At 36.8% G+C, this 12,808-nt stretch overlaps 1 long non-coding RNA gene across 47 annotated transcripts in view, besides 1 other annotated feature; it reads left to right on the top strand.

Moving 5' to 3' along the window:
- Positions 1-12,808, top strand: part of NR2F1-AS1 (NR2F1 regulatory antisense RNA 1) — a 176,234-nt gene that overhangs the window by 122,534 nt on the left and 40,892 nt on the right. For 2 of the 47 annotated variants that reach the window (NR_186182.1, NR_186203.1), the window contains one exon: positions 5,027-6,416. The exons of the other annotated variants lie outside the window; for them this stretch is intronic. This is a non-coding gene — a long non-coding RNA (NR2F1 regulatory antisense RNA 1). Of the gene's footprint in view, positions 1-5,026; positions 6,417-12,808 lie in introns of those variants that run through there. 47 annotated transcript variants of the gene reach the window in all.
- Positions 5,836-6,337: an enhancer, noted in NCBI's record as "OCT4-NANOG-H3K27ac hESC enhancer chr5:92792425-92792926 (GRCh37/hg19 assembly coordinates)". NCBI's record gives its function as "activates a minimal SCP1, AML or CMV promoter by ChIP-STARR-seq in naive H9 embryonic stem cells {active_cell/tissue: H9 hESC(naive)}" and the evidence as "EXISTENCE:reporter gene assay evidence [ECO:0000049][PMID:30033119]".

The following is a 12,808-nucleotide window of genomic DNA, read 5'->3' as shown; positions in this document are numbered from 1 at the left end:
TTATCTTGGCAATTAACATTTGGCTCCTCATTATTTATGGAAATTTCTGCAGCTGGCTTGAATTTCTCCTCAGAAAATGGGGTTTTCTTTTCTATCATGTCATCAGGTTGCAAATTTTCTGAACTTATGTGCTCTGTTTCCCTTTTAAAACTGAATGCTTTTAACAGCACCGAAGTCACCTTTAGAATGTTTTGCTGCTTAGAAATTTCTTCTGCCAGATACCCTAAATCATCCCCCTCAAGTTCAAAGTTCTACAAATCTGGTGGCAGTGGCTAAATGCCACCAGTCTCTTTGCTAAAATATAGCAAGGGTCACCTTTACTCCAGTTCCCAACAAGTTGCTCATCTCCATCTGAGACCATGCCTGGATTTCATTGTCCATATCATTATCAGCATTTTTGTCAGAGCCATTCAACAAATCTCTAGGAAGTTTCAAACTTTTCCACATTTTTTTGTCTTCTCTTGAACCCTCCAAACTGTCCCAACTTCTGCCGGTTACCCAGTTCCAAAGTTGCCTTCACATTTTTGGGTATCTTTACAGCAGCACCCCACTCTACTGGTACAATTTACTATATTATTCTATTTTCATGCTGATAATAAAGACATACTAAAGACTGCATAATTTATAAAGAAAAACAAGTTTAATGGACTCACAGTTCCACATGGCTGTGGAAACCTCACAATCATGGTGGAGGGTAAAAGGCACATCTCACATGGTGGTGGACAAGAGAAGAGAGCTTGTGCAGCGAAACTCCCCATTTTAAAAACCATCAGATCTCGTGAGACTTACTATCACAAGAACAGCTTGGGAAAGACCTGCCCCCATAACTCAATCACCTCCCACCAGGTTCCTCCCATGACATGTGGGAATTGTGGGGGTTACAATTCAAGATGAGATTTGGGTGGGGACACAGCCAAACCATATCATTGGTCATTTTAGAAAAATTAGAAAATACAATTTTTCACATATACACATACATACATATTTTGTGCTAATTTCTTTGCTTTCTCTGTTAATGCCTCACACCAACACTTTCCCCAATGCAAACCAGTGGATTTTGGTGGTATTGTTATTGAACTTGTTTAAATAGTTGCAGAATGAGTAAGTTTTACTCATTTTGGCCAGTGTTACTAATCATCTAGACTTGTCATAGATAATTTATTACCTACAAATGGGTTTGGGAAACTGAAAAACTGTGTTTAGTAACTCAGCTTGTCTAGTAAAATTATTATAGATGTCATCAGAAGAGCCTACTTCTATAGTCCGTTAAGTAGTAGTTATTCAAAGTGTTGTGCTTTGGTGGCCCATCTGTAGTGCATATTTAAAAATCCAATATTTATTTGGCATAATTAATCTAAAAAATAAATAAAATAAAATGCTTCCATGTTCCTTTGAGAACCTCTTTGCTTTGAAGGTAATACAGCAGTCTGTAGAACTACATCTCACTCTACAACATCAGATGTTCAAGGATTATACTTTTTCTTATTTTTTTTGTAACTCAGTTTCTATTTTGAGCCCCTGTTCTTCCCAGGTGACTGAATTTTTTTTTAATTTCCCACTTTTATTTTAAGTTCAGGGGAATATGTGCAAAATAGGTAGGTTTGTTACATAGGTAAACATGTGCCATGGTGGTTTGCTGCACAGATCATCCCATCATCTCAGTATTAAGCTCAGCATCCATTAGCTGTTCTTCCTGATGCTCTCCCTCCTCCCATATCCCACCCTCTGACAATCCCCAGTATGTGTTGTTCCTGTCAATGTGTCCATGTGTTCATCATTTAGCTCCCACTTATAAGTGAGAACATGTGGTATTTGGATTTGTGTTCCTCTGTTAGTTTGTGGAAGATTATGGCTTCCAGCTCCATCCATGTCTTGCAAAGGACATGATCTCGTTCCTTTTTATGGCTGCATAGTATTCCATGGTGTATATGTACCACATTTTGTTTATCCAGTCTATCATTGATGGGCATTTGGGTTGATTGCATGTCTTTGCTATTGTGAAAAGTGCTGCAATGAACATATGCATGCATGTATCTTTATAACAGAGTGCTTTATATTCCTTTGGGTATATACCCAGTAATGGGACTGCTGGGTTGAATGGTAGTTCTGCCTCTAGGTCTTTGAGGTATTGCCACACTGTCTTCCACAGTGGTCAAACTAATTTACACTCCCACCAACAGTGTAAAAGTGTTCCTTTTTCTCCACAACCTCACCAGCATGTGTTGTTTTTTGACTTTTTAATAATAGTCATTCTGACTGGTGTGAGATGGTACCTCACTGTGGTTTTGATTTTCATTTCTCTAATGATCAGTGATGTTGAACATTTTTTTTTCATGTGTTTGTTGGCTGCATGTATGTCTTCTGATAAGTGTCTGTTCATGTCCTTTGGGTGGCTGAAATTTTAATGTCAATTAGAGGCCTCACTTTCCTGGTGCTCTGATAATTCTTGGGTGAGAGTAGTGGGTTGTACTAGTTGTCTTCATCTTTTCATGGTGGTGAGTGGTGGCATCTGTAGAAATGTTGTCCTTCATTTTATTTCTGTAGTAGTTGATCATCACAGGTTGCTGCTGACTCATCATTCTCATTGACAAGTTTTTATCTGGTAAAGCAACTCTTTCTGTAACTTCCATGCTATTAATTGCATTATATTCTTTCTGTGGTCCTCAGACTACTCTAAAATGTGGAGAACTCCCTGAGACTGCCATTTGTTTAAGCCTTCCCGGTGCTGCGTGGGGTCTGGGAAACTCTATAAGGCTAATACTTTGCCCCACATATTATCCATCCATTTCTTCTGTGGTATCTTTCTGCCTTCCTGAGTCTGTACCTAAGAAATGGGACACAGATTTCTCTGTTCTCTTGCAAGAATAATGTCTATATCAGTTGTTTCTTTGCATCTTCTTATCCTCATTCCAGGGCGTTTTCATCAAGTCTGGAGGGTGAGAAATTTTTTTTTTAAAGATGTTTGCCAAAATCTGTCTTCCATGCCAGGTATTGCAAATCGATGGACTGAATTTGACCCACAGAAGTGATTTTGTTTGGACAGTATTTTAAAATTTTGGAAAATTCACATAAAAATTTGAATTTTCAGGATACTTTTTGGGTAAAAAACAATCTTGCAGCATTTTCATATGGTAGAATCAGCTGGAGCTTCATAGTGGCTCCTTGTAGGGTTTCCTTACTCCAGTTCCCACATTCCCTTTTCACCTGCCTGGCTGTTATAAGTGTAGTTCTGAGTCCTTTCCACTCAGAAGATAGGCCCAGGATTTTGAAATTCATGGGTCAAGAAAAAGACTCCTTACTTCTGCTTTCTACTGTCACTCCTTTTCTGAGACAGTATGAGGCTTTCTGCTGGTTGCATGGATGACGAATCTAAGGACAATTAGGGGAAAAGATTGGCTAGTATTTAAAAAATGTTAAACTATTACAAGGTATTATCAGGATTTTATTTTACTAATTTAAAAATGTTTTGTCAAGTCAACTTCTAAAACTCAGCTTTACTGAGGTATAAATTACATAAAATAAAGTTCACCAATTTTAAATAAACAAACTATTTTATTAATGGTTGTATATGCCACATTTCTACCAGCGATGTATGAAAGTTCAGTTGCCTCAAAGTCTTATCATTTGGTATTAATATTTTAATTGTAGTCTCTTTAGTGGATATATTATGACTAGTTATATCTCATTGTAGTTTTAATTGGCATTTTTCTAATGAATAATGATATTGAGCATGTTTTCATGCGCTTATTTTCTTGTATATCTCTTTTTTGGATAAATATCTGAATATTTCAGATATTTGAATATTTCAAATATTGAATATTTCAAATATTGAATTATCTGAAATATCTGAATATTTCAGATATTTAAAATAGATAAGCTTTAAAGCTTGTCTATTTTAAAAAATTGAGTTATTGTCTTATTTTTGAGTTGTAAGGACTCATATATTATGGATACGAGTCCGAAGTCATTTATCAGATACATCTTTTGCAAATATTTTCTCCCACTCTGTGGTGTGCCTTTTTATTTTCTTTTTTTTTCTTTTTTGAGATGAAGTCTCACTCTGTCGCTCAGGCTGGAGTGCAATGGTGTGATCTCGGCTCACTGCAACCTTTGCCTCCTGTGTTCAAGCGATTCTCTTGTCTCAGCCTCCCGAGTAGCTGGGATTACAGGTATGCGCCACCATACCCAGCTAATTTTTTTGTATTTTTAGTAGAGATGGGGTTTCACCATGTTGGCCAGGCTGGTCTCAAACTCCTGACCTCAAGTGATCCACTCTCCTCGGCCTCCCAAAGTACTGGGATTACAGGCATGAGCCACTGCGCCCGGCCTGTGCTTTTGTTTTCTTAACGGTTTTTTGAAAAACAAAAGTTTTTACTTTAGTGAAAGGCAGTTTTCTTATTTTTGGTTTTTTGTTTTATGGCTTTTGTGTCTTATTAGAATTTAACTCTAAGTCACAAATATTTCCTCATATATTTTCTTCTGGGAGTTTTATACTTTCTACTCTTATATTTAAATCTATGATACATTTTGAATGAATTTTTATATAATTTCATTATATGCTTATCTTACACTATAAAAGGTGGATGTCTAGTTCTTCTTGTTCTCTTTTTTAAAGACACCACTTTTTCCCTACTAATTGTGCATTTGTACATTTGTTGAAAATCAGTTGATCACAAGTGTATTTTCAGTGCTATTCTGTACCATTAACTTAGGTATTTCTTTAAGCCAGTATCACATCATATTGGTTATGATAGTTTAAGTACTGAAATCAGATGGCTTTAAGTCCTCCAATTTTTTTCTCAAAATTTATTTTGAAATTTGAAAAATTCCTTTAAAAATTAAAAATGTGGCCAGCGCGGGTCCTCTGTATGCTGAGCGCCGGTCCCCTGGGCCCACTTTTCTTTCTCTATACTTTGTGTCTCTTTCTTTCCTCATGTCTTTCATTTCACCTGATGAGAAATGCCCACAGGTGTGGAGGGGCTGGCCACCCCTTCATTTGGTGCCCAACGTGGGTGCTTTTCTCTAGGGTGAAGGTACGCTCAAGCGTCGTCACTGAGGACAAGTTAACGAGAGATTCCCGAGTATGTCTACAGTCAGCCTTGCGATATTTGAAGTTGTACAATGAACCCATCAGAGATGCAAAGAAAAGCACCTCCATGGAGATGGAGACACCGCAGTTGAGCACCATCGACTCACAAGATGAATAGAATGGTGATGTCAGAACAGATGAAGTTGCCATCCACCAAGAAGGCAGAGCCACCGACTTGGGCACAATTAAAGAAGCTGACAGAGTTAGCTAAAAAAAAAAAGCCTAGAGAACACAAAGGTGACACAAACTTCAGAGAACATGCTGTTTGCAGCTTTGATGATTGTATCAACGGTGTGTGCAGGTGTACCTAGCAGCTCCAAAGAGACAGCGACCATCGAGGACAAGCCATGATGACAATGGTGGTTTTGTCAAAAAGAAAAGGGGGAAATGTGGGGAAGAGAAAGAGAGATCAGACTGTTACTGTGTCTATGTAGAAAGAAGTAGACATAAGAGACTCCATTTTGTTCTGTACTAAGAAAAATTATTTTGCCTCGAGATGCTGTTAATCTGTAACCCTACCCTTAACCCTGTGCTGGCAGAAACACGTGCTGTGACGACTCAAGGTTTAGTGGATTTAGGGCTATGCAGGATGTGCTTTGTTAAACAAATGCTTGAAGGCAGCATGCTTGTTAAAAGTCATCACCACTCCCTAATCTCAAGTACCCGGGGACACAAAACACTGTGGAAGGCTGCAGGGACCTCTGCCTAGGAAAGCCAGGTATTGTCCAAGGTTTCTCCCCATGTGGTAATCTGAAATATGGCCTCGTGGGAAGGGAAAGACCTGACCGTTCCCCAGCCCGACACCCGTAAAGGGTCTGTGCTGAGGAGGATTAGTAAAAGAGGAAGGCCTCTTTGCAGTTGAGATAAGAGGAAGGCATCTGTCTCCTGCTCGTCCCTGGGCAATAGAATGTCTGGGTGTAAAACCCGATTGTATATTCCATCTACTGGAGATAGGAGAAAACCGCCTTAGGGCTGGAGGTGAGACATGCTGGCGGCAATAGGCAATAGTGCTCTTTAAAGCATTGAGATGTTTATGTATGTGCACATTAAAAGCACAGCACCTTTTTCTTTACCTTGTTTATGATGTAGAGATGTTTGTTCACGTTTTCCTGCTGACCCTCTCCCCACTATTACCCTGTTGTCCTGCCACTCTCCATTGTCTCCCTGTTGTCCCCCTCTCCGATATGGTAGAGATACTAATGAATAAATACTGAGGGAACTCAGAGACCGGTGCCGGCGTGGGTCCTCCATATGCTGAACGCCGGTTCCCTGGGCCCACTTTTCTTTCTCTATTAAAAAAAAAAAAAATTAAAAATGTAAAAAATTATTTGAGTTGTACTAGTTATTTTGTATTTTCATTTAAATTTTAGAATAAGCATGCCAGTTTCTACAAAAAGGCTTACTAGGATTTTTACTGGAATGGTATCAAATCTATAGATTAACTTGAGGATAATTAACATCTTTAAATAGTATGGGATCTTCTGATCCATAAACATAGTACATCTCTTCATGTATGTGGGATGTCTTTAATGTTTGTCAGCAACATTTTATAGTTTTCATTGTACAGATCTTTTACATAGTTTGTTAAATTTATTCCCAATTATTTCCAGTTTTTTGGTTGCTATTGTAAATTGCATTGACTTTTGAATTATAATTTCCAGTTATTTGTTCTTAGAACATGGCAATACAATTGATTTTTGTACATTGACTTTGAATCATATGACCTTGCCAAACTCATTTATTAGTTTGGTAGGTTGTTGTTTTCTGTTTTACTTTTTTGTAGATTCCTTACATTGAAATAATTATAAATAATCATGCCAGCTATCAAAAAGACAGTTTTATTATTTCCTTTCCAATCTGTGTGCCTGTTATTATTTTTTTCTCTAGGATTTCCAGTACAATGTTGAATAGAAGTGGCTAGAGGATATGTCCTTGCTTAGTTCCTAGTCTTAGGGTGATAGCATTCAGTCTTTTTTCCATATGTAGGACATCAGTTCCTCAATGTTAGTTTGAGGAAGTTCCTTTATATTCCTAGTTTGTTCAGGGTTTATTATGAATAGGTGTTGGATTTTGTCAGATGCTTTCTCTGCATCTTTTCAGGTGTGTGTGTGTGTGTGTGTGTGCGTGTGTGTGTAGTTAACATGGTAAATTTTACATTGATTTTTTTCATAAGTTAAAACTACATTTCCAGAAAAAATGCTTTTTCTATGTCTTTTGAGATGATCCTTTGTGTTTGTATATGTGTGTGTTACTTAATATGATCCCTAGTAATATTCTTTGATCTGAAGTCTACCTCATCTGATATTAATACATACTCTCCAACTTTCTTCTAATTCGTATTTATATGGTATATCTATTTGCACTTTTTACTTTTAACCTATTTGTGTCTTTATGTTTAAAGTAAGTTTCTCTATTCCTTTTTGTTTTTCCTTCATTTTAAATCCGATCTGGCAGTCTCTAATGTTGTTATTGGTATGGTTGAGTTTAAATTTATTATCTTGCTTTTTTTTCCTATTTGTCCCATCTTCTCTTCTGTTGACTTATTAACCATATACCTCTTTGTTTTAATTTACTAGTGATTGCTCTGGGGTTTAAAACACACATCTTTAACTTATCACAGTCTATCTTTACATAATATCATACAACTTTACATATGGGGAAGAATCTTACAATGTTGCTAGTGTCGTACATTTTACTTCTTCATATTTTGTGAATCTTTAAAAGAAAAAGATAAAACTTTTTTTCCTCCTCTCATATATTTAACAGAATGCTGAATATTTCACTTGTGGTCATCAAACTGTGTGTGGGGATTGTCACAGGTTAAGAGGCAGAACCACAAGACCTCACTTCACTTCAGATGCCAGCCACAAGTCCAGGTTGTGACTTGCACTTTTGACTAACCAGCTGTAAATCAGTGGTTCTCATGACCCCATCCTTGGGTTCATTAATTTGTTGGAGTGCCTTACAAAACTCAGGGAAACACTCTACTTCAGTAAATGGGTATATTTATTATAGAGGATATTACAAAGGATATAGATAAACAGCCAGTTGGAAGAGATGTGTAGGACAAGGTGTGTGGGAAGAGGCATAGAGCTTCCATGGCCTCTCAGGGTGCACCACCCTCCAGGCACTTCTGTGTTCAGCAGTGCAGAAGCTCTCTGAACCCTGTACTTCAGGGATTGTTATGGAGGTTTCATCATGTAGGCATGATTGATTAAGTCATTGGCCATTGGTGATCAACTCAACTTTTAACCCCTTTCCCCATCCCCGGAGATCTGAGGGTAGAGCTAAAAGTTCCAACCTTCTATTCACATGGTTGGCTCCCCTGGCAACCAGTCCCCATTCTGAGGCTATTCAGGAGCCCGCCAAGAGTTACCTCGTTAGAGCAAAAGATGCTACTATCACTTAGGAAATTACAAAGGTTTTAGGAGGTCTGTGGCAGAAACTGGGGTAAAAGACCAAGTATTAGATCAAAAGTTTTTTCTAGTACTCCTAGCTGCAAAGGTTTTAGGAGTTCTGTCTCAGGAACTGAGGGCAGAGACTAAATATATTTCTTTATATCACAAAAGCTTACTAAATATATTTTTATTAAATCACAAAAGCTTACAATACCTTGTAATTGCTTTTGCCTTGGGTAATCTCCTTTATCTTTTTCTTTTATTTTATCTTCTTTTTATGAGACAGGGTTTCCCTCTGTTGCCAGGCTGGAGTGGAGTGAAGTGCAGTGGTGCAATCATGTCTCACTACAGCCTCCACCTCCTGGGTTCAAGGGATCCTTCTACCTCAGGCTCCTGAGTAGCTGGGACTACAGTCACATGCCACAATGCCTAGCTAATTTTTTAAATACTGATTTTCAGTAGGGATGAGGTCTTGCCATATTGCCCAGGCTTGTCTCAAACTCCTGGGCTCAAGCAATCCTGCCTCGACCTCTCAAAGTGCTGAGATTATAGGCATGAGCCACTGCACCCAGTACCTTTATCTTTTAAAAAGATTAAAATATGAGGAAAACATTTATTTTTACTCACATATTTACCATTTCTGGTACTTTTTTCTTTTTTGTGTAGAGTTATATTTCTTTCTGGTTTAATTTTTATCCTTGCTGATGAACTTTAACATTTCTTGTAGTGCCAGTCTGATAGCATCAATTTCTCTCAGTATTTGTCTGTCTGGAAAAGGTCTGTATTTTGCCCTCATTTTTTAAAAGATATATTTTTTCCTGTATAGAACGTGTGTTTTTTTATTTGTTTTTTGTTTCAGTACTTTAAAGATGTCACTCCATTGTCTTTTGACTTACCTAGTTTTTGATGAGAAGTTTTCTATCATTCTTGATTTTATTCTTCTGCACAAAATGTGTCTTTTTTTCCTGCTCTCTGGCTGCTTTTAAGATATTCTCTTTATTTCTCATTTCCAGAAGTTTGATTATGTTGTGGTTTGGTATGATGTTATGATATTATTATTATGTTATGATGTTATTATATGTGGATTTTTTTCAGGTTTATTCTGCTCAGAATTTCTTGAGCTGATTTGCATCTGTTATTTATTTATTTTTACAGAATTTAGAAAATCCATGGTGATTTTTTTCAAATATTTTTTTCTTTGTCCTTTTCTTTCTGGGACTCCAGTTACATATATATTAGTCTGCATGATATGGTCGTACAGGTACCTGAGACTATTTTGGGGGGTCTTTTTCTACTTGTGTTTTGTTCTGGGTAGCTTCTATTTTGATGTATTTAAGTTCACTGATCTTGTATTCTGCCACTTTTATTCTGTTGTTTATATGATCCAATGTAATTTTCATTTTATATTTTATAATTCTCACTTCTAGTAGATCTTTAAAAATATCTTCATTATTTCTTCAACATGTTCATGTTTTCTACTGCATTCTTGAACATATTTATGATAGTTGTTTTAGTGTCCTTTTCTGCCAGTTCTACTTCTCTTGTCATTCTATTTATTTCTTTTTCTCTAGGTTTCTATTGATTGTGTTTTCTTTGGATTATGGGTAATATTTCTTGCTTTGTAATTTTTTTTTGAACAGATGCTGGATATTATGAATTTTATGTTGTTGCGTACTGGGTTTTGTTTTATTCCTTTAAGGTGTGTGGGACTTTTTTTGGCATGCATTTAAATTACTTGGGGTCAGTTTTATCCTTTCATTGTTTGCTTTGTTAAAGGGTTCCAGAACAGCCTTTAGCCTATGGCTAAGTTAGCCTTACTGCTAACTCTACAAATACCTCCTGTACTATATGGCCTCTCCACTCTGGCAAATGAGAATTAATTCTTAGCTCTATGTGAACTGTGGAAATTATTTGGTATACTGCTTCCTGATGTTTCTTTCCTCAGCCTTGAGGAGTTTCACTTTATGCATATGCAGATGAATAGTCAGCCATAGATTACAGAAGACCTTCTGTAAGATCTTCAGAGTTCTCTTTCCATTTAGCTACCTCCTGTCTGATAATCTCCACAAATTCTAGTTGTATCAGCTTACCCAGATCCATGTCTCTGTCTCCTGAGCTCACTGTGACTGCTGGGCTCTGTGTGGATTCTGCTCTGCAGTCTGGAAAATGCTTCTGGGTGATAAGCTGGGGCAATCAGAGGGCTCAGCTAGTTTGTTTTCCTTCTATTATCCAGTGTCTGAAAACTATTGTTTCATATATTTTATTCAGTTTTCTGTTATTTATGATTGGAAGGCAGTTCTCATAGTTAATCCTTTATAGGTGAAAATGAAAGTCCTTGTCAAACTGTTTAAGATTTTTGTTAATGTTCCATAAGAGTAACAGTGTTTTTTTTTGTACTTCTGCTAAAAATATGAATTTTAACAAAGTTATAGTATTTCACATTATAGTATAATTTATTGTTTTTAAAACATAGTGTATTTCTTAATAGAGACTGTTCTCAGTTATCTTTATAATTGAAGGCAGGAAATAGTATGCATGGTATAAAACATTAGATAATTCTAAATTAATTTCCAGTGGTCTTTGGAATGTATTGTGTGACTTTATAGCACAGTAGAATGACCTTACAATTATGTAAATACATGTCCGTGAGGTCCTTGCCTTCAGAAGCCTCAGCTGTAAGCAAAGCAGAGGGCCCACTGCCCTCAAGCATGCTTGACAATGTCAAAATTATGTCTTGATTACGCTAATACTTAAATTACTTTTTATTTACTGAACATATGCCAGGTGCTTGGTAGGGAAAAAAGGAGAGATGAAATGTGCTCAGTGGTAGGGAAAAACCAATATAGAATTAAATATGTTATAGTCAGGCCAGGTGCAGTTGTTCACATCTATAATCCGAGTACTTTGGGAGGCCAAGGTGGACAGATCACTTGACCTCAGGAGTTGGAGACCAGTCTAGGTAACATGGCAGAACCCCCCCTCTACAAAAAATACAAAAATAAGCCAGGCGTGGTGGTACATGCTTGTGGTCCCAGCTACTTGGGAGGCTGAGGTGGGAGGATCACTTGAGCCCAGGAGGTTGAGGTTGCAGTGAACCATGATGGCACTGCTGCACTCCAGCCTGGGTGACAGAGGAAGACCCTGTCTCAAGAAATAAATGTTAAAGTCATAATCAAGAAATGACTGTGTATTATACTTTTAATTCACCAAAAATTTAATAGTTGCCAGCTTTTTTTTTTTTTTTTTTTCAAAAACCCTACTCTAAAACCTGGTGAATTAGACTTAGATAGTATTTTCCATATGGCTCTCAGGTTATCATTATATTAATCAAAACTCAGACTTCCAACTTGTTTCTATTGTATTAAAATGGAGTTATTAGTAATTCTTTCTTAACTAGGAGTACTTTAAAAATACCTGGGGTATCACTTTCCTGAAAATGTTAACTAGATTATCTCAATGACAGTGGCAGGTGGATGATAGTAAATTAAATCACCTCATTAGTGTTTGAGATCATATTGATCAGATTATTGTTTTTACAGAATATTAATGACCTACAACAGTTAAGAGTTTTGTTAAGAGTTTCAGTGTTAAATAAGTTTGAGAAACATTGCTTCCTATCTCTCTCTCTGTTTTTTTTTTTTTTTTTTTTTTTTTGAAGCAGATTCTTGCTGTGTTGCCCAGGAGAGAATGCAGTGGTGCAATCATAGCTCACTGCCCCTGAAACTCCCCTGCTCAAGCGATCCCTCCCGAAGTACTGGGATTACAGGCGTGAGCCACTGCACCTGGCCTGTATCTTGCTCTTGAGTATTCATTTTGGACATACAAGTTCTGAGAAACCTTGTAGTGAACAATCCTGTTTGATTTTAACTCAGCATTTTCCACTCTTATTTGACTACCACCCCTAACCACTTTCTGCCCATGAATACCTCTTAAAATCCCTTGACACACTAGTGTTCCACAGAACATAATTTTGTAAATGCTACAGTGATTGTGATATAGATCTTTTAGTTACATTGTAGCTATATCTGGCCCTATAGTTATAAGAAATGTTAAGGAAAAGATAATTGAGAGTATGGAAATATTTTGCTTAGAGTAGAGTCAGTTTAAACCAAATTACCAATTTGGAGGCACAGGTTTTTATAGTAACTTTCTCTCTTCAAAATAAGAGTGTTTCAAAATGTTATAAAACGAAATTTCATAAGGTATTTTGGTATTTTGGACAACAACTAAACTCTTATAAAATAAACTTTTTATGAGAAAAGTGAAATGTAAATGAATCAGAAGCAACACATGAAATAAATTGCTTTTGAATTATGCCTAT

The sequence above is a fragment of the Homo sapiens genome, chromosome 5, assembly GCF_000001405.40.
Source record: "Homo sapiens chromosome 5, GRCh38.p14 Primary Assembly".
Taxonomy (NCBI): Eukaryota; Metazoa; Chordata; class Mammalia; order Primates; family Hominidae; genus Homo; species Homo sapiens.
The sequence above is the reverse complement of the archived record's forward strand: the minus strand, read 5'-3'. Positions and strand labels throughout refer to the sequence as shown.